This window comes from Homo sapiens, chromosome 1 (genome assembly GCF_000001405.40).
Source record: "Homo sapiens chromosome 1, GRCh38.p14 Primary Assembly".
NCBI lineage: Eukaryota > Metazoa > Chordata > Mammalia > Primates > Hominidae > Homo > Homo sapiens.
In genome coordinates, this window is record NC_000001.11 from 70,990,016 (window position 1) to 71,017,962 (window position 27,947).

General features: G+C 37.2%; 1 protein-coding gene across 12 annotated transcripts in view; it reads right to left on the bottom strand.

Moving 5' to 3' along the window:
* Positions 1-27,947, bottom strand: part of PTGER3 (prostaglandin E receptor 3) — a 195,459-nt gene that overhangs the window by 137,658 nt on the left and 29,854 nt on the right. For 11 of the 12 annotated variants that reach the window (NR_028293.2, XR_946714.3, NR_028294.2 and 8 more), the window contains exon 2: positions 22,290-22,469. Coding sequence is in view for 8 of the 12 variants with exons in the window: in NM_198717.2 (NP_942010.1) it covers positions 22,290-22,469 (180 nt within the window). In the remaining 4 variants the exon portion in view is untranslated. Of the gene's footprint in view, positions 1-15,844; positions 22,470-27,947 lie in introns of those variants that run through there. The other variant, NM_198715.3, reaches the window with a different exon arrangement.

A 27,947-nucleotide genomic window follows, 5' to 3' on the forward strand; every position in this document is an offset into this window, starting at 1 on the left:
ATGATATACAATACATGTATGTATGTGTACATATGTGAAAATATATATACACATACAGCTGGGTGTGGTGGCTCACGGCTGTAATGCCAGCACTTTGGGAGGCCGAGTTGGGCGGATCACGAGGTCAGGAGATCGAGACCAACCTGGCTAACACGGTGAAACCCCCTCTCTACTAAAAAATACAAAAAAAAATTAGCCAGGCGTGGTGGCGGGCACCTGTAGTCCCAGCTACTCGGGAGGCTGAGGCAGGAGAATCACTTGAACCCGGGAGACGGAGCTTGCAGTGAGCTGAGATTGCGCCACTGCACTCCAGCCTGGGCGACAGAACGAGACTGTCTCACACACACACACACACACACACACACACACACATATATATATATATAAAATACATATTATATCTATTATACATATGTATCAATGTATAATATATATATACATATATTATACATATATATACACATATATGCATTTTATATACATGTATGTATGTACACATATAAATACATGTATGTACATGTATATATATTTGAGACAGGGTCTTGTTCTGTTTCCCAGGCTGGAGGGCAGTGGCATAACCACAGCCTCCCAAGTACCTGGTACTACAAGTACACACTACTACACCTGGCTAATTTTTATGTTTGTAGAGATCGGGTTTCACAGTGTTGCTCAGGCTGTGCTTGAATTTCTGGGCTCAAGCAATTCTCCCACCTCAGCTTCCCAAAGTGCTGAGATTATACAGGTATGAGCAACTGCACCTGGCTGGAACTAAAATATTTAACTAACTGATATGTACCACTCCACAATCATATAATATGGAGATTAATATTAATGGCAATAAAAACACTAGATTATCTGTGTTTACCTGGAGCAGAATGAAAAATGCTACAATTCCGTTTCACAAATAGTGAAGGTAACATTTAATTTCTTGCTCAAAAGAAAGCAGGTTATTTGAATTTATTGTTGAGAACTGCCTTCTGAACGTCATTCACTTCATAGGCTTCCTTCCAATGTGCTTCTCATTGACCTTGGGCTTCCATTTGATTAATAATAAAAGTCACCTAACCTTAAACTTCACTCAATTCTTCTCTCTCAGACACTCACACACATACCATTAGAACTCCCACTCTCCAATACAATCTAGAAAAACAAGACACTCTGCAAGGATATATACTCAGGGCTTGGCCCTACCCTCACACTTTTGACAGTCCAAGGAAACATGGAGAAAGAGGAGCTGGCCTGTGCACATTACACTTTGGTTTTACTGCTCCTTTCTTGGAAACCCTACTCACTCTCTGCCCACTATCCCCGAGGCTGACTGGTGAGACATTTCCTCTCTTATCCTCTCCTCTCCAAACCCTCAGTCTTCCCTTATGAGCCTGCTTTCTTTCTTTAATTTTCCACTGCTACTTTCATTACACTCTCTGAGCCAGAATACTAGGGTATAGAGAATATATGTGGAGTGAGACAGGGAGGGAAGGTTTCTAGGGAGTGAGCACAAGGAGACCCTGACACCAGTCCTTTCTGGGAACTGCAGGGAGATGCATTCCGTGCCTCAGTCTCTGAGGTGGGCCCAGAAGAGAATTTTGAAATGGGCTACAATAGCTTCAGGTGTCTGTCTTCTCTTGAGATTCGTTCCCTCCCAGCCCTTCGTGTCTTTCCCAGGTTTTTCCAAAGAAATCCTAACTCTAACTCATCATTAAGGCTTAACTGTTCTATGTCCCATTCCTCTATGGCCTTACTAAGTGGCTAGAGGTAATGGAAATAATTATTTATGAGATATGAGAGAGTGACAGTGATTTACTGTGTTATTACTCAGATAATGCATTTACTTTCTAAGAAGGGCCTTTTGTGTCCTTGCTCAAAGAAATGAAAATTCTTAGATTATAGGTCTTATGGTGGATCCTATAAGGTTAGGAAAGCTTTTGGAAACCCTTTAAACAATAATAATAGGCTATATTTAATTGGTTATACTAAATATCAAGCACTTTTCTAAAAGCTTTACACATTTTAGCTCATTTGATGTTCATAGTAATCCCAGAGGAAAGTACTAATACCTTTACAAATGAAAATACTGAGCCCTGAGGAGGGTGAGTAATTTACCCTCAGTCACACAGCTAGTAAGTAAATGAACTGGGGTTTGAACCCAAGTAGTCTGGCTCCAGAATCCCTGCTCTTTATTCATCCAGATAGCTGTCAAACACAGCATCAAGGCTGAAGTTAGTCTGGGAGTCAGAAGGCCCGAGTTCTAGAGCTGGCTCTGCCTCTAAGGAGCTATGCAACTTTGAACAAGCCACTTAAACTCTCTCAGTTGAACTGAATTTGTGGTTGATATCCTTGTTTTTTTGGAAGCAGAGCGATTTCTTTAAATGAAATCCTAATTAAAAGCCTGATATACACAACAGATAAAAGGGAGATATTGAGCCTAGGCTGCTGTTATAGCGACCCACATGTTGTTCAAAATTGAACCCTTCACCCCTTACTAAAGATAGCGCTCTGTTGAACCAGTTGAACTCCTTTTGACTCAATGATCTCTACTGTTTCTTTCAGCTACAGGACCCTATGTAACCAATTGTGTAGACACACCTAGCAGCTTCATGTCTCAAAATGTGCTCTTTTCTCTACCATGCACTCAGGTGGAAACAGCCTAGTGTTACAGAGAGAAAAGAGGCAACACTTGAGCAACCAAGGACATCGATTTCATCATTTTACTTGATTTCCTTTAGGGCTCAACCAAATAAAAGATACTAATTAAAGCCTCACCCTACACTATATATTTCCCTCTGAGAAGCAGAGATGAGAAATGCAGCTTCTAAGCACTTAGCACAGTGACTACCATCTTCGAAGCATTTGATTAATGATCATCCATGCTAATTTGAATACTATAGCAACAGTATAACTAAGACCCAAAACATTTATAACAACATTGCCCTGGGTAGAACTTTTTGAGATTAATTTCATTAGATACTTGAAAATAAATTCAATTAACCTTGTTTTTCTTCTTCAATAAAATTAGATATGAGGTCCCTCAATGTTAAATTCCCCCCTCTTCTAACAAGTATATCTAGATATAGATCTGGATATACTTACTTTCTTCCCACTTCCAGATATTCTCTTATGAACCTCACTTCTCTTTTTCTGCATAGTGGAACACATTCATCTTTAAACCATTTGTTTTTCAGTATTACTGTCCTACGTTTGTTACATATCCCCCACTAAGAAAGCAGATGTATCACAGATGGTGTCCTTGTTAAAGGGAAAACTTCTAGAGAGACAGCGCAAGACTCCTGGGTCTTTGGTTTGCTTTATAAAGCGCATGTGTATACATGGGACATGGGTGAATATGTCTGTGCGATAGAGCTTATGACACCCTAAAAGCTAGAGGAATCATGCTATACTCATTTTCTGAGAAATTCACCAAGTATTGAAAAGTGAACTGGTCTTGGGCAGAAGTCTACATTTTGTACAGTTAGGCTAAAATGTCTAACCATGTTAGGCTCTCCTTTTGCAGCAGCCCATTAACAAAACTGAGGTGTAGGTGAAGAGGGTTAATAACAAAAAGCTCTGTAGTCTCTGGAGAGCTCAGAAGAAAGATTTTCAGGAATGACTGGGAGGCTGCTCAGGTGTGCTTTGGAGTTTTCCAGTCTTTGAGATGTGTTACTTGCATTCTTTGCTCCTCGAGGGCATTTGCATCCCCACTGTGGTTAAGTATAGTAATAAGCAGAAATTAGAAGCTGAATGCAAACCGAGTGAGTGAAAGAATAAGGGATGCAGTGAACAATAAGAAGAATTGATGGAGAAACTGCAGTCTAGTGATATGAACACATGGCAGGAAGCAAAAAGAATTTCTAAATGTGAACAGATCAAAACCCTGTTCAACTTCCTTGTGCCCCAAAAGGAGGTGGTCAGAAGTTTTCTTCAAAGGCTCTTCGTTCTTGGAAGGAAAGTGTTTTTTCACTCTTTATCAGCCTCTGACTTCATAGCTGTGTTACCAAAAGGGCTGGGAGCAAGGATGTGGGTTTAGACCCTGCGGCCAAAGGCTGCTCTGCTCTTTGCCAGTTGCTCTGTTCCTGCCAACCACAGCTACCCTTCTCTCTTCTAGCCTGGCCGCTCACCTCTCAGCCTGGCCATTCTCCAGCTAGGGCCATTGCAGACATCTGAATTAATCAAAAACTGTCTTCCCTTCATATCACCTCAGAAACTTAATATAAGAACGTAAGAAGTGTTGCACCCACTAAGACTAGTAGTTCATTCAATTTAATATTCTCTCCAATGGTGACACCAAGGGACCTTTACCGGGATGGAAAAAGAGGCATTGTGAATAGCAAGCATGCCAAAAGTTTGGATGCCATTATCTCTAATTTCAGTCCCTAATTATAGTTAACTATTTACGGAAACATGTAGTGTATGCTGTATCTATCAATGTGGTAAGTCTGTAAACCTTAATTTTTTTTTTTTTGAGACAGAGTTTCACTCTTGTCGCCCAGGCTGCAGTGCAGTAGTGCGATCTTGGCCCGCTGCAACCTCCGCCTCCTGGGTTCAAGTGATTCTCCTGCCTCAGCCTCCGGAGTAGCTGGGAGTACAAGTGTGCACCACCACGCCCGGCTAATTTTTGTATTTTTAGTAGAGACAGGGTTTCCCCATGTTGGCCAACATATTCTTGATCTCCTGACCTTGCGATCCACCCCCCTCAGCCTCCTAAAGTGCTGGGATTACAGGCGTGAGCCATTGCGACCAGCCAAAACTTAATTTTTATAAACTAAAACCTCTTCTGGGACATCATTGCCTTTTTTTTATTTGTACTATTTTTTTTGGTCATTTAAATCAATTTAATAAGTATTTCTATGTCTACTGTGTATCTATAATTCAAAGCCTTCACATTCTTGGAAGCTGAAGGTCTGGGGAGGAGAGGAAGTGGGAGGGACTGGGACACTAAGATTAAAATGATGTGTCTTTCATTCAAGAAGGTAACCATCCAGTGGGGGAGCTAGAATCACCCACAGCTCACTGTAATATAAGTAGAGCAGTGAGAAGTAATCACCGAGGCATAAATGAGGTGTTTATGGATGTACAAAAGAGGGAATCAGTAATTCTGAATCAGGCATAAGGAAACAACTCTTAGGGTAGGTGTCATTTGAGCTGGGCTTTAATGAATGAGCAGAATTTTCTTCATTGAAATTAACATTTAAGCAAAGTAAACACTAGAAACAGAATTGTGAATGTGCATAATGTGTTTGGGGAGAGGATTCAAAAAAGGCTGGTATCAGTGTTGCCAGAAAAAAATTGGAATGGTAGATTGGGATTGGTTTACTGAGAGCTTTGAACAAGTTAAAGCTTTTGGGCTTTGTACAGTGGGCAGTGGGGAAGTAGTAAAGGACACTCTAAGTCTCTGCTCTTGAAATAGATAGTCTAGGACACTCTACTATCTCCACTATTCAAATGAGAAAAATGAGATTAGAAGGAGTAAGAAACTCACTCTAAAGAAAGTATGAAAGTGATATTTGAGCTGAAGTTTCACTCTAGCGTCCAAATACTACACCTAGTCTTAGTCTTTCTTTAAAAAAATTTTAGAATTATTTTAATTGACAAGTAAAAATTATAGTAATAACATGATGTTTTGATATATGTCTTAATCTCAATTTAATTATTTATAAAATAGGAATAATAACAACACTCCCTAGCTAACTAAAAATTTGATCAAATAAAACTACAGATGGTAAAATGCCTTAGAAAGTACAAAATACTTTTATAAGTGTTCACTATTAATATTATTTTACATTTATCACTATTCAACTAATATAACTCCTAAATATAGTTCTGGAAAGGAAATTAGTGTTATTTGATGTTAATATTGTCTATAAATGATTGCATTCCTACTGGGCTTTATATATACGTATTATCTCATTTCCTTGCTATCTTGTGAAATAGGTGTTGTTATCTCCAATTTATAGATGAGTAAACAGAGGCTGAAAGAGATTAAAACCTACTCAGTCACACAGCTGGTAAGTCAAGAACCATACTTCAAATTTATGTCTTTAAATCCCCAAATCCCTTCCATAAGGCTACTCATTGCCTTCCTTATTGATGATGCTATAAACCTTGGAGTTTACAGTGGCACACTGAAATGACGTCTTCAGGGAACAATTAATGATGCCAGAAATTTCAGCATTTCCAACAAAGATGTGAGTGTCTGGTTTTTTGTGCTTTAAAAGAGATGTAACTCTTTCTAATCCTGTTAAGAATTAGGTTGAATAGTTAAGTAGTAATTAGGCTTGACTTACCTAAAAAAAAAATACCCATTCTATCCTACTCTCTGAGACAAAATAATGTCTTTAAGAATAATTTTACTGTTGATTTAAAAAAACTTCCCTGTTTAAGTAATGGTATTGGTTCCTTATAATTATTTTAAACTTTAAAATCTTCCCTAAACATTTACTGAATCATTTGTATCTATTTTGTTTTTGTTTTTGAGAAGGAGTCTCCCTCTGTCACCCAGGCTGAAGTGCAGTGGCGCGGCTCACTGCAAGCTCCGCCTCGTGGGTTCATGCCATTCTCCTGCCTCAGCCTCCCGAGTAGCTGGGACTACAGGCGCCCGCCACCATGCCCGGCTAATTTTTTTGTATTTTTATTTATTTATTTATTTATTTATTTATTTATTTATTTATTGAGACGGAGTCTCGCTCTGTCGCGCAGGCTGGAGTGCAGTGGCGAGATCTCGGCTCACTGCAAGCTCCGCCTCCCAGGTTCACGCCATTCTCCTGCCTCAGCCTCCGGAGTAGGTGGGACTACAGGCGCCCGCCACCGCGCCCAGCCTTTTTTTGTGTTTTTAGTAGAGACGGGGTTTCACCATGTTAGCCAGGATGGTCTCGATCTCCTGACCTCGTGATCCGCCCGCCTTGGCCTCCAAAAGTGCTGGGATTGCAGGCATGAGCCACTGCGCCTGGCCTGTTTCTATGTTTTGAAGTATATTTCTTGGCTGGGCGTGGTAGCTCATGCGTGTAATCCCAGCACTTTGGGAAGCCGAGGAGGACAGATCAATTGAGGTTGGGAGTTCGAGTCCAGACTGGCAAACATGATAAAACCCTGTCTCTACTAAAAATACAAAAATTAGCTGAGCTTGGTGGTGCATGCCTGTAATCCCAGCTACTTGGGAGGCTGAGGCAGGAGAATAGCTTGAACCTGGGAGGTGAAAGATGCAGTGAGCAGAGATTGCACTACTGCACTCCAGCCTGGGTGACAGAGGGAGACTGTCTCCCAAAAAATAAAAATAAAATAAGTAAATAAATAAAGTATACGTCTCTTCTCTTGGTTATGAAACTTAAAAATATATACATAACAGGTTAGATAATATTGTACAAAAATTTGGTGATTGTTATTCATGATAGATTTATTCTTCTGAAATATGTGTATATTTTACACATAGCAAAAAATGATCAGAATAGATAATAAGCAGAGTTTGATCAAATTCATATTGTTGGCAGACTTTCATATTCGATGAAGTCAATCCAATAATCCAATTATAATTGTTATTAATGACCACCAGATATTCTGATTTAATTATTGGAAAGTAATTGCTGTAGCTCTTTTTAAAAAAACATTTTTGCTGTTTTATGAGTAGTTTTCCAAAAATGTTGTAAACTGATAAAGTGAACATAGAAATCATGAAATTCTAGCTTTGAGATTAGGGTCAACAACAATGCATTTAGTGACACATAAAGCAGAATATAAGCCACATCTGAAGAGGTTGAAAGCAGAACACTAAGCTCAGCAGCTATATTCAGACAAATCTTTGTCTTTTACACCAATTCCAATATTGTAGCCATAGTATGACTGTTTTGAGACATAGAATCATAAAATCCTGAGTTGGAAGAAGACTTAAAGAAGATATTTGTATTCCATCCATCTACAGCAAACTCCCTAGTGGTTTTCTGGTATGTGCTTGAATATTTGAAGTGACAGGGAACTCATTATTGCTTAAGGTCAGCCCTGCCACCTTAGGGCACATTGGTTTAGCACCTTTCTAGATTAAGTCAGACTCTTTCTCTCTGTAGCTTCTTAGTCCGCCCTTCAGGGCATATGAAATAAATCTCTATTTAATGTGACACTCCTTCATGCATTTGAGAGAATCTCACCATGGTTCTTAGATGCAGTCAGGTTTGAAGGGAAATTTACAAAGACAAATATTTGAAAGAATATTAATCAAAACCATAACAATGATTAAGTTTGAGTGGTGAAGTATAGGGAATTTTTCTTTGGTCCTCGTGCTTTCCTGTATTGCTTAAATTTTATACATGAATATATATTCTAATTACAATGAAAGAAAATGTAGAGCGATTTACACTTTGGGAAAGCTATTTAAGTCCTAAATGCAATCAGTGAAAACTGAGACTTCGCTCTGAAGAATGAGAGAATCTGAAATCTGAAATCTGCAAGTGATAAACCTCAATGTCCCCACAACCTAGACCCACATGATAGAAGCTCATTAAAAATGTGAATATGACTAAATAAATCAACAAATCATTCATTTAATTGGTGGTCAAAATCTACTTGGAGACACAGTCATCACTTGGGAAGTAACAGCTCCACTAAGAACCAAGTTGTTACTGCTGTGAATCCAAGTACTAAGAGGAAAAGAATCACTTCCATCCTAATTCAAATTGATTTAATGCCCCTTTTAATTGTGTATTTCTCAAATACATCACAGTCCGGAAATTCTCTGGTAGTTCTGTTTGTGACTTTACAGCTAGAGATGAACTGAGGTACTCAGAAATAAATTACTGTTTTGCTTGAATCTCGATACATCTATGAAAATTTTGCACAGGGAACGACGATGGTGCTTATTATGATGACGGTGGATAAGTACCATATTTAAAATCTGGCGTGTGGCTGGGCACGGTGGCTCACGCCTGTAATCCCAGCACTTCAGGAGGCCGAGGAGGGCGGATCACGAGGTCAGGAGATCGAGACCATCGTGGCTAACACGGTGAAACCCCTTCTCTACCAAAAAACAAAAAATTAGCCGGGCGTGGTGGCGGGCGCCTGTAGTCCCAGCTACTCGGGTTGAATTCATTCAAATAAATGTCAATTGACCCCAGAGATGCCTGAGAACTGTTGACTATTGTCACACTTACATTGAAATATTCAAAAGACAATGTACAAAATAAGACTAAAGATAAACATCAAGATGTACAAATTTTTCCACTTTATATATCTATGGATAAGTTGCATTCTGAATTCATTTAGTGATAATAATAGAATTAGAGTTTGGAGACGCTGAGATTTTGTTTCCTTGAACAAAATGTTTTGCACAGTTCTAATCAGTCTGATCAGTTCTGTGGAAATCAGAGAGCAGTCAGTTGAAGAGAAAACTGGTGAATGAATAAAATATCAAATGCATCAAATAGATTTCACCTGTTAGCAGAAAGGGATGGAAAACTCAGAAACAGGGGGCAAGAATTTTTCTTTCTGAAAGACAAAATGTGCTCCACTCAAACTGCATTGTATTTTACCAGAAGAAGCTAAAGCAAATTTCAAAATTAAGCAGGGAGAGATGATAATCAGAATAGTTTCACTGATGACAAATGGTCTGCCCTAGGTCCTGAATTTTCTACAGTCTCTTAGGAGTTCCTCTGTAACTAGGAAGCACAAGTATCTTCTGCTTTTCAGTAAGCATTCTCCCAAATTACAAGTCCGAGAGGACGGGTAAAAGGAAAAATAAAAAAAGAGACAAAAGCCAATAGGGCCAAAAGAGATGTATTCTTAGTAACCCAAATTGTGATAAACTCTTGGCTTTAGCAAAAACCACAGGCCTGTGTGGAAGTAGAAGTGCAGTTTTTCTGTACAACCATCTGCTGCCAGGAAACCAATAGTTTCTCCACTGCAGAAGTGGTCCTGGATCAAACAAGGAAGGATCTAAATGTTTGCAGTCATGTGCACACACCTAGATTGGACATATGGACCTTCACATTTTTTGCTGAGAATCTTGTTTGCTTAATCTAATCAGCACTCTTAGAAAAGCTGCCTCACCACTGCTCCCCAAAATTATTTCTGGTGGTTTGAAAATGTCCAGACATTGATAATAGAGTCAAAGCCTTTCTTCCATGGGGTTTTAAACAAACCCTCGAAGATAAACTTGAAGCTTCTGAAACTAATCACAGTAGTAATTATTTGCTCATGGATAACACATGATTATATTCTAAACCCAAGTCAGGTGTGAACCCCAGCTTTATTTCTCATTAACTGTTGTGTATTTGGTCAAGTGACTTTTCTTCCACAAACCCCAGTTTCCTTATCTGGAAAGTGCTGATAACACCTACCTGCTGTCATTGACATGAGAATTTGATAACATACGAAAAGTGTAGGTGCTCATAAAATGGTATCTGCCACTATGGTCATTATCACCAGTTCAAATTTCTTTAAAACGTTGTTAGTGTTCATGTGTCCCTGAAAGCATTCTCTTTCCATTTCTGGGAGTTTGGTTACTTAACATCCTTTACTATTAAGAAGCTCATTTTAAAGCAGATGTGGTCAAAATGAGTGAATAATTCAAGAAGGATGAAGACATGGGATCTAGACAAAGGACTATCAATATAAATAAAAGAGGCAAAAGGATGAATAGCAGAGAAAACCAGAAAAATGTTAGACTCCCAAAGTGGGTAAAGATTATCAGATAGGTTTGGGCACTTGGAAGACTATTAAGATTTAGCCACTGTTCCAAAGCAAACTTAAGCAAATTCAAAACTTGATGAGTTCGTAACTCTAGAAAAAAAGAGAAATGTATTCAAGAAAAGAAACATAATTACAGTACTACTGATTCCTCAGTGAAGGATATTTTCATTATCATGAAAATGCAAACATTGAATGTTGATTTAATGAAAGTCAGTTATAACTATAATGGGAGAATGGGTGAGGAGAGAGCTAAATCCAGCAAAATAGAAAATCAGCATATAATGTCTATAAAGTTGATTGAGTGTGAGATAACAATATATTATTTAAAATTATGGTGTCATATGCTAGAAAAAACATTGAAAAAATAAGCTGAAAGGAGTAGCCACTGGAAAGCAGGTGGTCTAGGGGTAGGGTTAGAATGGGGACTGTGGGTTTCATGCATGATAAGCCTTTCAGCACTATTTGACTTTTTAAAGAGATGCACATAGTATTTTAATAAAAATTTATGAAAAAACTTAAGAAAAGAAATACACATTTGAGGTATAACAGATATCTCTCTTGCTCCTTCACACACACACAAATAAGCACAAGTGTATAAAAATCTATGTAACTTACTCTTTGTTACAAGAGTTCCTTAGCCACAAATAAATGAATATCCATCATTTAACAATTAAAGGCATAGGATTTAGCAGTTAGGATGAAGAGTAAAGCAAAAGGAGGCAGAAAATCTTAACAAATGGAAGACATGGTACCTGTATTCAAGGATTTTGCAATTTGGTTGAGAAAAGAAATCCATCTCATTCAGGAGAAAGAGTGGGAACCTGAAATTTCTTTTTGGAGAAAAAAAGAATCTATACTTTTGAGTCTTGCTATTTTTGTCTCCTAGAGTTTTCCTGTGAGCTGTTTTCCAGGACTCAGAAGAGAAAAGCTTATCTGTGTTTAGCTGACAAGACCACCTTCATGACATTTCCAGAGAGAAAGGAGAATCATGGCTTTTCAGTGAGAAGATACCACATAGAAATATCATCCCCTTATTTTACAGATGAGGTACTAAGCCTAAAAGAAGCTGTGTATTTTTCCCAAGTTCACACATCCTGTCTGTGACAAGAACCAGCTTTCTAACGTCACTTGTGTGTTCTGGTGAATGTGCGATTGCCCAATACTAAACTGGGAAGTCTGTAGTAAACATGAGATGAGAACAATCATAATTAATTTTCTAATATTGTTCAATTAATGAAATGAATATAACAAAGTAACACTAACCACTTGTATAGCACTTTCAAGTGTCTTTACTGGGTGCAAAGCCTCATACCTGTAATCCCAGCACTTTGGGAGGCTAAGACAGGAGGAATGCTTGAGGCCAGGAGTTTAAGACCAGCCTGGGCAACACAGTGAGACCTGTTTCTAAAAACAATAAAAAATAAAAAAAATAAGCCTAGTGAGGTGTCGCATGCCTGTAGTCCCAGCCACTGGGGAGGCTGAGGTGGGAGGATCACTTAAGCCAGGAGGCTGAGGCTGCAACGAGTTATGATCACACCATGGCACTCTAGCCTTCGGGACAGAGTAAGACCCTATCTCTTAAAAAAAAAGTCTGTATTTTCATTATCTCATTTAATTGTAACAATCTTATGCTGATAAGAAAATTCAAGTTGATTCAGAGACATTTAATGGATTGTCAAGGGCAAATAACCAGTAAATAACAAATCAAATAATTCGACCAAGGTGTTCTGGCTCCTTGTCCAATGTAGAACATTTTCTCTTTCATTATGACACACAAAACTTTAGAGAGCATTTTTGTAAAATGACTGTATTTAAAATATACTTTAAAATATTTTAAATTACATATGGCCAAAATAAATGAATTAGTTCAGCTTTGGATTATTAATAGTCTGAATGAATAGTCACAGGGATATTCAAAACGGTCATGGTGTGAGAAAATCTCGGACAGGGATAAGAGTCATGCATATCTAATTAGAGCTGCCCAACATTTAAGGCAGTGATTACACTTCATGATATGCCAATATTATTTCTCCAAAATATTTCAAGTAAAAACCCGTTTTGTCCCGTTAATTCTTAAAATAAAAGGGTTGGGCAAAAAATTTAAATGGTCAAGAAATGTTGAAACTAACAAAGGACAATTGCTTTTCCTCTAAAAACAGCTCCTCCTGGATCTCCTAAGAAGAAGACTCCAACTCACAGACCACTGCTGACTCATTAAAATCAACTTGTAATGTCATGCACATACTGTGTATCTGTCCAATTCATGCACATACATCCAGAATGTAGGATGCTTTGGTATCAAAGAGCTGTTTATGATTGACAAATACTTCAATGCTCTAAGATTCCATTTTCATCTTCTTTAATAAGGAAAGACAAATGCAAAAATACATGTCATTAATTGCTCTGCATTTTTCCCTCCAGAGAAATGCAAACCATAAACATCAGTAAGATTCTACTAATAGCTTTAAAAGTTGGCTTAAACCATTATTAATTATACATTTGTAAGACGGTCTGTGACTGCATGCCTTGCTTTCTTATTCAAAGGTTCAATCAATAAGGTCATCCCTGCCACTTGCACTCTGAATGGCAATGCACAAATTTAGTGCCTATAGAAGTATAAATAGATATGTGTCTACATATATATCCTAGTATCATGAAGTTACATTTTAACCATGTAGCTTGCTTGTGTATAGGAGATTACATTTTTCCAGGGAGGTGGGTAGATGACATTTTTATTGATTTTTTAAATAGCTACATTATAAATCTCTCTTGTTGGGCCAGCACAAGGCAAAACTAAAACAACATCTTTATTGTAAGGCAAATGCATCTTTGGATAACTTGTAATATTTTTTTTAAATGGGTCTTTCACTTTTCAACCTGTTTTGGGGTGAGTAACCTATATTGCTCCTCTCAGATCAAATTGTGTTATTTCTTATCATCACATGATTGCAACTTTTAGAGAAAAATGATTGCAGTTCCTTATAATAATTCTACCTCCAGTTACATTGATTTACTGTTATGGACATATCGTTAGATAGATGTCAAGGAATTTTGGCATTCACTGGGAAGTAATTACATTGACTTAGTTCCAGTTTTAGGTTTGAGTTTCCTAACCAAACGTGGAAAGCTTTGCAGTTCCTTAAATCATAGAGGCTCTCACAGAAGGATTTCTTAACCTATGGGCATAAATGCCGAAGAGGTCTATAGATAGACTTCGGCAGGTCTGTACAATTTCTGACACTGTGCAAAAATCCTCTGCACCTTTTGTGGGAGTACCACATACCTATCATCAATTTCTCAGAAGGGTCGTTGATCCTAAAATAATTAAGAACCAATGTTCTTTCTAATTAAATATCACTTAAAACAGCCTCAATTGTGGATTTCAGAATTATTTTCTCTCAATGTTCTTTGCAAAATCAGATTCAAACAACCTTGTATGTTATATTCAAAGCCTTCTTTTTAAAAATTGCATAAGAATATTATGCATAAACACTGATTATCCATAGTCTTTTGTAACTTGGCCTCAGAAACTTATGGTTAACAGATTAGGTCCCTCATTCTAATTGTATTTTTTTATCAGACTTTGATTTTCAGTGTGGTAGGTAAACCCATCTTCCCATTTTATACAAACAATAGGTTTCAGTAGTGTCAGTTATAGAGATCATGACTTGAACTCTGTTATCAAAATGTATGATAATAACTCTAGACCTGAGGAATTGAAGACTGGCATGAACTCAGAAAGTCACAGGCTCATCAAGAGACATTGCCCAATATTTGTTCTTTGATAAAAATCATCTTTCAGATAAAATGAAGCTTCTGCAGCTTTGTTATACAGACTAAATATGCAAACATCTAATTTAAGGAAATAGTTTGATAAATTAGTTTTCTCCTTCGGAGAGAATTGTCTGGAAATGTGTACTTAAAGATGTAGAATTATAACAGATTTTTTAAAGGTCTTTGGAGACAAAGACTCACTTTAGGTATCACTTTGAGAGACATACAAACCCTAATTCCTTTTATCAAAAAGAGAATAGAGATTGGAGGCATCAATAGAAAGATGATACTTTCTAAGAAATTGTGCCTAATCATCTGTGAATAGGTTTATGTGATTATGGAAGCTGATCAGGGCCTGTGGTGATCCAGGCATTGTTGTAGTGGCAGCACCACATTTTTGTGCAGTCAGACACAAACTGGCATTCTAGTACCTGCTGCTTCAGGAAATGCCAGAACAGTGCCTATGTGGACCAAGGCCCCACAGATGGCCTCACCCCTCAAACCCTTGGGTACATAGCACCTGTTTAGTGGCCCTGGCCCTTGCTTTTAAGGAGTGGTTCCAACTGAGGGCAATTATGTCCCCCATAGTACATTTGGCAATGTCTGTGAATATTTTTGATTGTCACATCAGAGAGGTATTGCTGGCATCTCATGAGTAGAAGTCAGGGACATTGGGAAATAACCTACAATGCATAGGACAGCCCTCACAACAAAGAATTACCTGTCCCATGTGTCAATAGTGCCAAGGTTGAGAAACCCTGCCCTAAAGCCATGCCACTTTGATGACCCTGAGAGGTTATATAGAAAGGATCTATGTAGAGCCACACTACCCACAGGACCACTAAAGTTTAGTCCATTTGACAGATTTGGAAACTGTAATGCTTTGGACAGAGTGAAGTGAAAAAATATCCTACAATGTCCTTCCTTTACAGGTTAACACCTATTCCTTTCCCCAAAATGAGGATTAAATGCCACCTTCTACAGGAATACCTCCCATGTTAGCATCACGTTTCCATGTATTCTCATGATACCATGTGCTTACTCTAATTGCAGCTCTGATTATTTCCTGTTCCCCTACCAGGTTATAAATTCACTGAGAGCTTGCTGTTTTTATTAATTCTTGGGTCTTAGTACCTACCAGAGCTTGGCACTTAATAGGTATGCAATAAATATATGTTGAAGGAAAGAGCAAGCCTGCAGAAGTGACTTAAATTCTCCATGACAAACATCCATCCAGAATGGATTTACTCAAGGCTAGTACTAGCAAGCACACTGGCCCCAAGGACATTTGGCCCCATGCCCTCTGAGGACATGAAACTGGGGAATGTCTCACCCCATGGCCTGTAGGTTTACCAGCATGATGGTGGAAATTTCGGGTGAGCCATAGCCATAGTAGTCATAATGACTTTTAAATTTTATTTATGTATTTATTTTAATAATCACAATTGTACATATTCGCAGGGCACAGAGCGATGTTTCGATACATATAATGTATACTGGTCAGATGAGGGTAATTAGCACATCATCATCTCAAACATTTATCATTTCTTTGTGTTGGGAACATTCAATAGCCTCCTTCTAGCTATTTGTAACTGTATATTAGCATTAACTGTAGTCATCCTACAGGAGTATAGAACACTGGAACTTATTTCTGTTATCTCTCTTATCTAGCTATGATTTTTGTATACTTTAACAAAACTCTGCCTATCCTGAAATACTAAAGAATCAAGATTGTAGAGACAATAAGATCTGGTCCTAGGCCTAGAACCCCCACATGGGAGGAACCAGGGACAGAATTCTCCTTGGATATCTTTTCTCACGAAGAAAGAGGGATACTTTTAATGAGCTTGACTTTGCAGTCTACATTTGACAGAGCTTCTCCCTTCATTGAAGAAGGAAGACCAATAGTGACCTCAATAAGTACATGAACAAATAGCTGGGGATCCCAGTATTCATAACCACCAATACTCAGCTCACACCAAAACTCAGGCACAAGTCAATTAAAGGGTTGTACTATGAGCAAGGACAATTCTTATTTTGGCTGCCTGTAAATTACACCAAAATCCACAAGAAAGGGAAATAACTAAGCTTACAATAATTTATAAATGCACTCTGTGTTAAGAACAATAATCTTGAGATAATAAAACAAAGAAACATCATGTTGAAAATCGGAAAAGAGCAACTCTCATATTTATATTAAATCAACAATAATTTGTTATGCACATGATTATGGAATATAAAACAAAATGATCTAATTTTTCCAGATAGCATGGGGCTGTTGCATTACATTGTGCTATTATTTGACAAAGCACATCAAATGGGATTTCAGCAAAATACTTAACATAGTTATAGGTAAAGTATTCCTGACGTGAGTTGACATCAGGAAGAAAACACAGCGACATTTCAGAATATTCAACTTTATTTTCCATTGACAAACACGACATAAATAACACACATTTATTAAATACACAGACTAGCCATGACTTGAATGCCAGCAAAAGTCTAACGTACTTTTCATACGCTCTTTTATTTTTTGTCTCCACAGTATTGAAGACCAGCCTTTAAAACATACTAGAAGATATATTTAAATACACTGACGATAACTACCCATAAAACTTTACATAGAGGTGATAAAAGAGACTTTTCCATTTAATCAAGTATATAGAGATGGATGCTGAGGAGGAGAGGTGAAGAACACTATGCTTTTGATACTGATCTTTACAATATGGATTAAAGTGCCAATGATTTCAGCTCCTCCTAGGCACACCATGTAAATAGTACTTACATTCATTTGTTACAAACAGATCAAAATAATCAGTGCCTATTTTAATTGGTTTGCTTAAACAGGCTTACACTATTTGTACAAAAACATTTGATAAGGAGAGCAAGAAGGCAAAGTATTTTTTTCTCTTTCAAGGAAGAGTTGGGAAGGAAGAGAGTTCAGCAGTCAATAATGGCCTGAGTGAACTTATCATTTGCTTTGACAGACAAGACCCCTGGCCACTCAGTAGTACTACTGATGCTCAAGTGTTCAAAGATAAATGCAGTCGGTCCCTTCCTCTCTTTGCTTCCAGGGCCTGGCACAAAATGATGAAGGTTAACAGGTAGAAAATGGACAGGTTTTCCATCATATCTTTTTCTATGTTCTCTGCCCCACCCACATGAGTATCCTTTCAAAAGTAGAACGTTGAAGTGTATTAGTAAATCACACGCATTTCCCTCTGCTTAACATTACAACTTTGATTTCTACAGACATGGAAAACTGTATGAGAAATCTATATTTGAATTACTATTAAAGTTTAATGATTGGCTGTTTTTGCCTAGACGTTTGGCTTACTTTAATTAAAGGATCAAAATATTCTAATTCTAAAGCATTTAACAATAGCATTGAAGAGATGCACAAATGATAATAACTTGAGAAGTGGAATCATCTCCAAAAATGCTCAAAAAAGCATGAAAAGGCTGACTTGTTTCTGATGGTGATCTCTTTCCTTCTTATCTTTACTCCCATAATAAATTCTTCAACAAAGCAGACTTACTACACAACAGATTCTGATCTGTTTCACATATTAGGCTACTGGCACTTTAAAAATATGAAGTTATTATCTCTCCTCTTAAAAACAATCCCAGCCTCATCAACAGGAATTATGTCTGTTACTTTCTTTCTGTGAAAGAATGGATAAGCACAGTAGAGTCAAGGGGACTAGGAGAAAACAGTGTAGTTTCAAATGAAGAAATACATAATCTAGTAGATATCTGGGTTGCTTATTACATGAAACTGATTGATACAAAGCTTCTGAAAATAAGATAATTTTTATTCTCAGTAAAGAAAATGTGTGACATAAATAAATATAATACATATCTGATTGAATTATATTTCTAGAGAATCATAATGCACTCTGCTTATGGTATCATAATGTAATGGTATATGACTAAACTTATATAAATTATAACCCTTAAATAGAATCTTCATTTTAGGAATTATAAAAGGGAATATATCAAATAAAATATTTTCCCTAATTCTTTTATCATCATCACCACCTAGTTAGTTTCCTTACAATACTGAACTGATGTCAGCTTCTTAACAAATATGTATGTGAGTTTAGGTTGGTTATTAAATTTTGTAAATTGGCTCGATCATAACCTATGTCATGAAACATCACAGACATCTGTCACTTTGTCAGCACTTTGTTGCAACTCAGAAAAGTCTTATGGACTAGGCCACAGTTGCACAATTCTGCACATTTTTTAGACCTCAGTTTTAACAGATTTTGAGATATGTAAACATATAAAACAAGCAATAAACAAGCAGCTGTGAAAATTTGTCATTGTTGATGGTTTGTACTTGTTATACAGATAAAAAATAGAAATTTTAATTCTTCAAGTTAGGCTTTTTATGTGTTTGTAATAATAAATACTCTGTAGTCTCCCTGTGTCATTCAGCTCCTAGAATCCTGTGTATTGCAGGAGAAGCTTTTGGGGTTAAATTATGAAAATAAATAGATATTATGCATGTCTAAAATTTCAAAGAACAAAAGTTTTCTATTTTCTTTTTCTGAGTTGATCTCAACCAAAAGAACTATTAGTGATTGCTGATGTGGAGAAGGTTGAAAGCTGACCAATAATTTGGAGTCAAAAAGAACAAAATTATAAAAAGCGTTGAATAAATAAAAAGCCTAATCTACTTGAAAATCCAATATTAGAATACTGCCACAGAGTGACCCCCTTATTAAAATACTGTTTGCCAGTTTTTAGTTTGTCTGTCACTCAATGCCAATGTGCTCACAGGATCTTTCATAGTTAACTTACATGAGGTTTTGCATTATTTTCTGCAACATGGTCGGATATTTCATAAAATAAAGAAATGTAAGTAGAAATATATGTATACCCTATATTTCAGACTAGTTTAAATCTGGCATGATTAAACACTTACATTTACCTAAAATATCTTGGGATATATACAGCACTAGGTTAACTTGGTAAATATTGAGATAACTCATTTTTGTTTCTTCAACTTCAAGATATTTTTAAGACATTCATCATACCTATTTTATTTGAAAAGTAAACTGCTCTCATTAAGTAACATGTGATCATTCTTCTCTGTGACTCAGCATAGTATATAAATTCATTGTTTGGAAAATCAACACTACTTGGTAAAATTGACACTTGCTAATTTTACATATATTTCTACATTTCATTCGCTTACTTCTTCCACCATGGTTTTCTTGGCCTTTAATTGTCTTTTAACCAATACTTCAAAATTCAGGAATTGTCATAATCTATACATGCATTTTTCCTGATTAGACATATGTATGGACAAACTAAGTATACATGAGTGAACTTGAAAGCCAATAAAATTAAACTTAGACACGTCTTTCTGCTGTGACTACATATATCCTCTTTCTAACCACCGCTCTAGTCTCTGTACATCTCTGAAATCTAACCTCAACCATCATGAAAAGGCTGAAATCATTTGGGATTTTCATTTCTTATCAGGTTTCCCCATACTAACGAATGCCTAGATAATAAAACTCATATGCCATTTACATAATTTCTTTGTTTTCCACCTCCCTTTCAAGCTTGTTAAAAAAAACACAAAAGCTGCCATTCATCCCCTCCTAAAATATATCCCCTGGGCAGGAATTTAATTTGCAGTTAAGAATAAGTGTCAGGTTTTTTGCCTTTCTGTATTTTTGCAGTTTGATGAAAAGTGATATTCTTGTGATAGTAATGTCCACTATCATTTGGAAGTATCAGTCTCCTAAATTATTAGTATAAATAAAGCACTGTGTTGTACAGCAGTATGACACTACACCCTTGAAGATAAATTCATATTTCTGTAATTAAATAATCAGAAATAATTCACTTTATCAGCCTGATGGACTGTAATGGCATGAAGCACTTCAATCATATGGTATGTGCCTTGCCAATGTGTACTGTCCTGGCAAACTTCTGCTCATTGATTCACTGAATAAATATGTATTAGACAGTTTCTATATTCCAGGTGCTATACTAGATGCTGGAAGGAATAACCTAATCATGCTCATGCCACTCAAATTCACATTGCCTCTGTGTCTATCTGACTAGAACTTAGGGTCACAGGACCAACCAAGAGGTAAAGCCTCTTTATTATGTGATTTCAGTGCACTTTTGAAAAAAAGTAGGTAGTTTTGTCTTATACCCAATGAGATGACCTACAGGATAATCCAATTCTATGGCATAGAGAGATTTTAGTATAGTCTATTTATCACCTTTTCCAAAATTTAGATTAGTAGAACCATCATTAATTACATAAGCACTCTCAACAGATTTTGTCTCCAAATTCAATTTGACATGGTCATTTAAAATAATTAGCCCCAATTGACATAGGCTGGTGTATATATCAATCTGATAGACATATTGTACCTATCAAAATTAATTCTTTACCACTAAACACACACAGAAATATGCAGTTACTACAAGAAGTATAAATAAATCTCAAGCTTTTAAAAAACTAGAAAAGCAGTGCAAGAAACTGCAAATGAAAATCTTCACAATAAAAAGTTAATGGGTTTACAAAATGAATGCACCAAAGAATATGGCAAGCTTTGTGTAGGCATAACTACAGGATTACTATGTTTGGTGGGGAGACATTTTTAAGAAGTGCAATTCCCAAAACTTAATGTAGTGATCTACTTGTGCACAAATACGTCAAGCTTAGCTATTGAGGTTTGTATTCATGTAGACTGTAGGAAAAACATTTTAGTAATAAATATTTAGATAGAGCCACTTTGAGGAGCAGGCAGAAGAGCTGTGAAGGGTCAATGTTATTAACTTTCTTATATAAATAGGCCAAAATATGGAAAGTATTCATTGAGTCTTCAAAATATTTATTTGTTTTGGAATCAGTATTGGAATTTAAAGAGTCAAAGACTGGGGAACACTTTTGGTGAATAATCAAGGGAAATATATATTCAGAGTACCTATAGTTAGTGCTCAAATCGGTCCTTACATAGCATTCTGAAAAACCACTTCACGACTCTCATAGGTCAGTTTCATGAATCTTCCTTAGGCTCATAGAAATGTAAAATATATTCAAAAGAAAGAATAATTAGCAATTTGGGTAGTCACAAACTCCATATTTCAAACAAATGGAATTGGTTCTTATTCAGATAAAGAGTAAACCTAATTATCAATCCAAGTAAACTTAAACTTTGTTAGGTTAGGAGCTAATTTGCTGTATTGAGCAATATTTGAATAATGGTATCGATGAATATTATAAATACATTATACATTTTTAACTGTAATTAAACTTTTCTTTAATGTAAGGAGGAAAAAAGTGACAGAAAGCGAGAGAGGCAATGAAAGAGAACACAGCAATGTCTTTGAATAAAAACAAACTGCTATCCCTTGTCTTCAATGATGTATGTGGTTAAATTCCTCATGTATTCAGTGTACTGGAATATTAACTATCCCCGCTCCCCAATAGACCAAGATCATTTATAAAAAATGTTTTCATCACATAATTAATCACATATTCAGCTACGAATGGCAGACTCAACAAAAACACTAGACTGTTATTAATATATTTTCCTTTGTTTGTGTTTCACTACTTTTGGCACATAGGGATTTTCTATGCTTCTAAGACCATTTAGCTTTATACCAAAAATTCCACTTCAATGCATAAACAGTGGCATGCCAGAGATGCCTAAATTCACAGTAAGGTTTAGCGATATTTGTTACCAAAAGCTGTGCACATGCAAGTTAAGTGTTTTCTTTCATGCTTCTGTCTGTATTATTTCATTAGATAATGAGATAGGCTGCCCTTTCTGTCCATCATTAGAGCAGCTGGAGACAGCATTTGCTACCTGGCAAAACTTTCGAAGAAGGATCTTTCTTAACAGCAGGTAAACCCAAGGATCCAAGATCTGGTTCAGTGAAGCCAGGCGAACAGCTATTAAGAAGAAGTTGCATTCTTTCTGCTTCTCCGTGTGTGTCTTGCAGTGCTCAACTGATGTCTGATTGAAGATCATTTTCAACATCATTATCTAAGAAAAGGGGACAAATAATTGTTTCAAAGATTAGTAAGGTCATATGCATCTCCTCTACACTGTACTTTGCACATAGTTGGTTTTCAATAAATTGGTTGTTGGATTGAAATGATTAATTCAAGCAACATTTATACTTGGATAACACAGTCCTGAATTATACAAGACATTCCTAGGTATTTTCCCACATTTGTGGCTATTTATCATGATGTAGCTTTTAAAACATGCATGTCTTCAGGCTCTTGATTCTTGGAATTTAAGAAGCTTGAAAATAACACATCTCAAAATGAGCCAAAGTCATGTTTGTTGCAGAAAACACCACAAGTTCACCCAAATGAGAGCCAACACTTCAACAATAACAAAAACATCTTAATCTTAAATTTCCAGTAGTTCTAATTTTAAAAATTACTGCAGAAAAAGTAGACGCAAGAAAGGAGGAAATATTATTATTATTATTATTATTATTGCCACTAGCATTTTCAGAATCCTTACTATTTAGCAGACATGGTGCCGAGTTCTTCATATGCATTTAATAAACAGCATAACACAGGTAGTATTACCACTTCCTTCTGGATGAGCCAGACTAATACCATATGATGTACAATATTATACTTTTCTTTGCCCCCACCCAATATACACTGCAATGTAAACTCCATGATAGCAGGAATTTGGGACTATTTTTTCCCCAAGTGCCTAGATCAATAGGTAGCAGATAGCAGATGTTCAGTAAGTATTTGTGAGAGAACAAATTTTTATATTTGAAGGAATATATTATACAACATAAAAATGACAGTATATGAGTTATATGTATTTGTGCGAGAACAAATTTTTATATTTGAAGGAATATATTATACAACACACAAATGACAGTATGTTATATAATATGTATTTATATTTGAATTAAAAAGATGTTCTTATGCATATTAAAAATGTTCAGGCCAGGTGTGGTGGCTCACGCCTGTAATCCCGGCACTTTGGGAGGCCGAGGCAGGCGGATCACTTGAGGTCAGGAGTTCGAGACCAGCCTGACCAACATAGAGAAACCCTGTCTCTACTAAAAATACAAAATTGGCTGGGTGTGATGGTGCATGCCTGTAATCCCAGCTACTCAGGAGGCTGAGGCAGGAGAATCCCTTGAACCCGGGAGGTGGAGGTTGCAGTGAGCCAGGATCATGCCATTGCACTCCAGCCTGGGCAACAAGAGCAAAACTCTGTCTCAAAAAAAAAAAAAAAAGAAAACAAATTGGAACTATTTCACCTGCTGTTTCCCAGCTATGCAACTCCTAGGAATATACTGTCCAGAATTCCTGCACCAAGAGTACTGTATATGACTGTTTCATAACAGCATTGTTCATAATAGCAAAAAAAGCAGGAACAACTCAAACATGGGTTCACAATCCCAAGCAAAGAAATGAGCTGAGTTTGTAACTGGCTCCTAAGTTTCCCATTCTAGACCTATACAGCTATTGAGTACTTGACATGTAGCCAAAGCACACTGAAATGTTAGAATATGTTGATTCCATAATGGAATAATAATATTTCTATATATTGTGTTAAATAAACATATATTATTCAAATTAATGTCACTTGTTTCTTTTGACTTTTTAAAAATGCAGCTACTAGAAAACTTTAAATTATATGTGGCTTGTGGTTTTTTTTTGCTCACAGTACATTTCTATTGAACCTAATCTCTCTCTCTTGAGGCTTACACTTATCTGTATGTTCTGCCCTCAGGTCACATAACTTAAATTGAATTCAACATCCCTGAGCATCCAAAACATCCCTAACCACTTAACCACAATTCCAGTGATGGCACTTTGATACACTCACCCTGGATCAACATTTCAGAGTCTGTGAACTCTTCTTTTCCTCATCCTCTGCAATGCCTTTTGCTCTTGCTTCACTCTCATTCTTGTTCAGATCTTCCTCTCATTTGAATTATGGTAATAACAGACACCCAGATGGTACATGTACGGACTGAATGTTTGTGCCTCCCTTCAATTTATATGTGGGAGCCCCAACCCTTTATGTGATGGTATTAGGAAGTGAGGCCTTTGGGAGGTAATTAGGTTTAGATGAGGTCATGAGGGTGGAGCTCCTATAATGGGATTATTATCCTTATAAGAAGAGGGAGAAGAACCCACAGGTCTCTCCTTCAGCCATGTGGGGCACAGCAAGAAGACAGCAGTCTACAAGCCAGGAAAAGGGCCTTCACCAGAAACTGAATCTGGGGGCACCTTGATCTTAGAATCTTCAGCTTCCTGAATGGTGAGAAATAAATGTCTGCTGTTTAAGCCATCAAGTTTACACCTTTGTTATGGCAGCCCAAGCAGACTAAGACAGTGTTTACAGATATCTGCCCATCACAGGTGCAGCTTCCAATCCCAGCTGTGATCAAATCCTCTCCAACTAGAAAATCATCAATGTCTTCCCATTGTCCATCGAACAGAAATTTAACTCTGGTATTCAAAGCCCTCTACAGTACTGTCCAAACTATTCTTTCCAGTTTTGTCTCCCACTAATTGCCTATACAGACTCCAAACTCTAGCTATAGTCCATTGGTTTTATTCTTTCCTCCCTCTTGGCCTTTATTCTTTCTTTTTTCTACCCCTGCAACACTTTTAATCCTCATCATTTCTACTTCTGAGACTTCCAAGTCTTTCAGGACTATCTCAGTTGTTCCTGATTATTCCAAACCACTGGCCTCTGAAGGCCTACAATTGTGTGTGTGTGTGTGTGATATAACCACATATTTGTAGTAGATAGACAGATAGACAATACTAGCAGGCATCCACATGTCCCTCAAAAACTTGGACGTATGGGGGAAGAAAATGTGGGTCTCTAAGATTTAAAGTGGACATAACATCAACACGTAGGAACCCAGCTCCAAGGTTACTGAACTTGACTGCAAGCAATTGAACAAAGTATCGACATATCTGAAATCGATTTGCTTTGGGAAAAAGGATACTTAACCATCAGGTTTGAGTATTTTCTATTCTTGTTGGCAAAATTGACTACTATTGTGAGATAAAAGATGTAATTGTCTATATTAGTTTGAAGTAAGTAAATATTTGATTCTTTTAATTCCCCATCTTCTGTGTCTTTTTCCACTAAGCTGATAATGACTGGTCCCAGTGTTGATAAGTCAACAGGAAAAGAGAGCTGAGTCATAGGATTTCTGGTATTGCCAATTCTGCTCATGTATACTCAATTTTATTTCAAAAATACAATTATATAACAAAAAAGCAGGTAGAGCAGGTTAAGCAGACAGACAAGAGAGAGAGGAAATAATACACGAAAATTCTTACAAGACTGTGTGACACTGGTATCCAGCCATTTTCCCTTTTGTCTTATTTAGTCACAGTTTTTATTCTTAAACGAATCCCTGGCAAAGGGGATGGGAATTTCCAGTTTTGGCTTATAAGGCAAACTCATGCTCTGGGGCTTGACTCATATTTTGTTTTTTGAGACAGTGTCTCACTCCGTCACCAAGGCTTGGGTGCAGTGGCACAATCATAGCTCACTGTAGTCCTGAACTCCTGGGCTCAAATGATCCTCCTGCCTCAGCCTCCCGAGATGCTGGGATTACAGGTATATGCCACCACACTCAATTAATATTTTTATTTTTTGTAGTGACGGGGTCTCACTATGTTAACTAGGCTGATCTCAAACTTCTGGCTTCAAGCAATCCTCTTGTGTAATTTCTTTCACAGGAATTTTTCCAAATGATTTATCCAATAAAAGCAAATAGTAGCTATACAATAAATAAATGTTCAGAGGAGCATTATATATGCCAGCAAGAAATTGCAGACACATACATCTCTAACATCAGGTGTAAAGCTTAATAAAACAATAATTCACAAATAGTATATATAAGTATTAAGTGAAAAAACAGAATATAAGATACTTTATATATAAAGTTTTGTTGTTATATTATTTAAAATAGGCAGACTTGTGGAAGGCAATGGAATTACTGCTATTTAACAATAATTTACTTTTAAACAATATAATTTAATTTTAAAATTGTATGTACACAGGCCAGGTGTGGTGGCTCATGCCTGTAATCCCAGCACTTTGGGAGGTCGAGGCAGATGGATCCCCTGAACCCAGCAGTTCGAGACCAGCCTGGGCAACATGGTGAAACCCTGTCTCTATTAAAAACACAAAAATTAGCCGGGCATGATGGTGTGTGCCTGTAATCCTAGCTACTTGGGAGGCTGAAGCAGGAGAATCACTTGAACCTAGGAGGCAGATGTTGCAGTGAGCCAAGATAGCACCACTGCACTCCAGCCTGGATGACAGAGTGAGACTTGGGCTCAAAAAAAAAAAAATTGTATGTATATAAAAACATTTCAAATGATGTTAATGAAAGTCTTTTATTTAAAGAAAGCAGATGGTTATTATTCCCTTCTTTGGTAAATATGGACAATTATACACCGAATTTACTTAAAATAAATATATTTACATCAATATATTCTGATGCTGGCTGGCTTATCATCCTATGAGCTGAATGCTACCCCCCATCATAGAAGGCAGAATAATGCCCCTCCTGCCACACACAAAGATATCCATTTCTCGGTCCCTGGAATCTGTGAATACGTTACCACACAAGACAAAAAGGACTCTGCAGATGTGATTAAGGTAAAGGACCCAGACGTGAGGAGATAATCCTAGATTACCTGCGTGGACCCAATGTAAAAACAAGTGTCCTAAAAAATCAGAGAACTTTTCCCAGCTGTGGCCAGAGGGAGAGATGACTATAGAAGAATGGTCAGAGATACACAGTATCTCTGGCTTTGAAGGTGGAGGAAGGGATCCAGGAGGTAAGGAATGAGGATGACCTCCTCTAAAAACTGAAAAAGGCAAAGAAACACTTTTCTCTCAGAGACTTAAAAAGTAATGCAGCCCTGTAGCACCTTTACTTTAGCCCAGTGAGATCCATCAGACTTCTAACCTACAGAACAGAGAAATGTGTGTTGCTCTTAAGCCACTGATATGGTCTAGCTCTGTGTCCCCGCCCAAATCTCATGTCAAATTCTAATCCTCAGTGTTGGAGAAGGGGCTTGGTGGGAGGTGACTGGATCATGGGGGCAGACTTCCCCCTTGCTGTTCTTATAATAGTGAGTGACTTCTCATGAGATATGCTTGTTTAAAAGTGTGTAACACTTTCCTCTCTGCTCTCTTTCCTGCTCCACCATGTGAAGATGTGTCTGCTTCCCCTTCACCTTCCACCATGATCACAAGTTTCTTGAGGCCTCCCCAGCCATGCTTCCTGTACAGCCAGCAGAACCTGTGCTTTTGAGACAGTCTTGCTCTGTTCCCCAGGCTGGAATGCAGTGGTGCAATCTTGGCTCACTGCAACCTTCACTTCCTGTGTTCAAGCCATTCTTGTGCCTCAGACTCCCAAGTAGCTGGGATCACAGGCACGTGCCACCAGGCCTGGCTAATTTATGTATTTTTAGTAGAGATGGGGTTTCA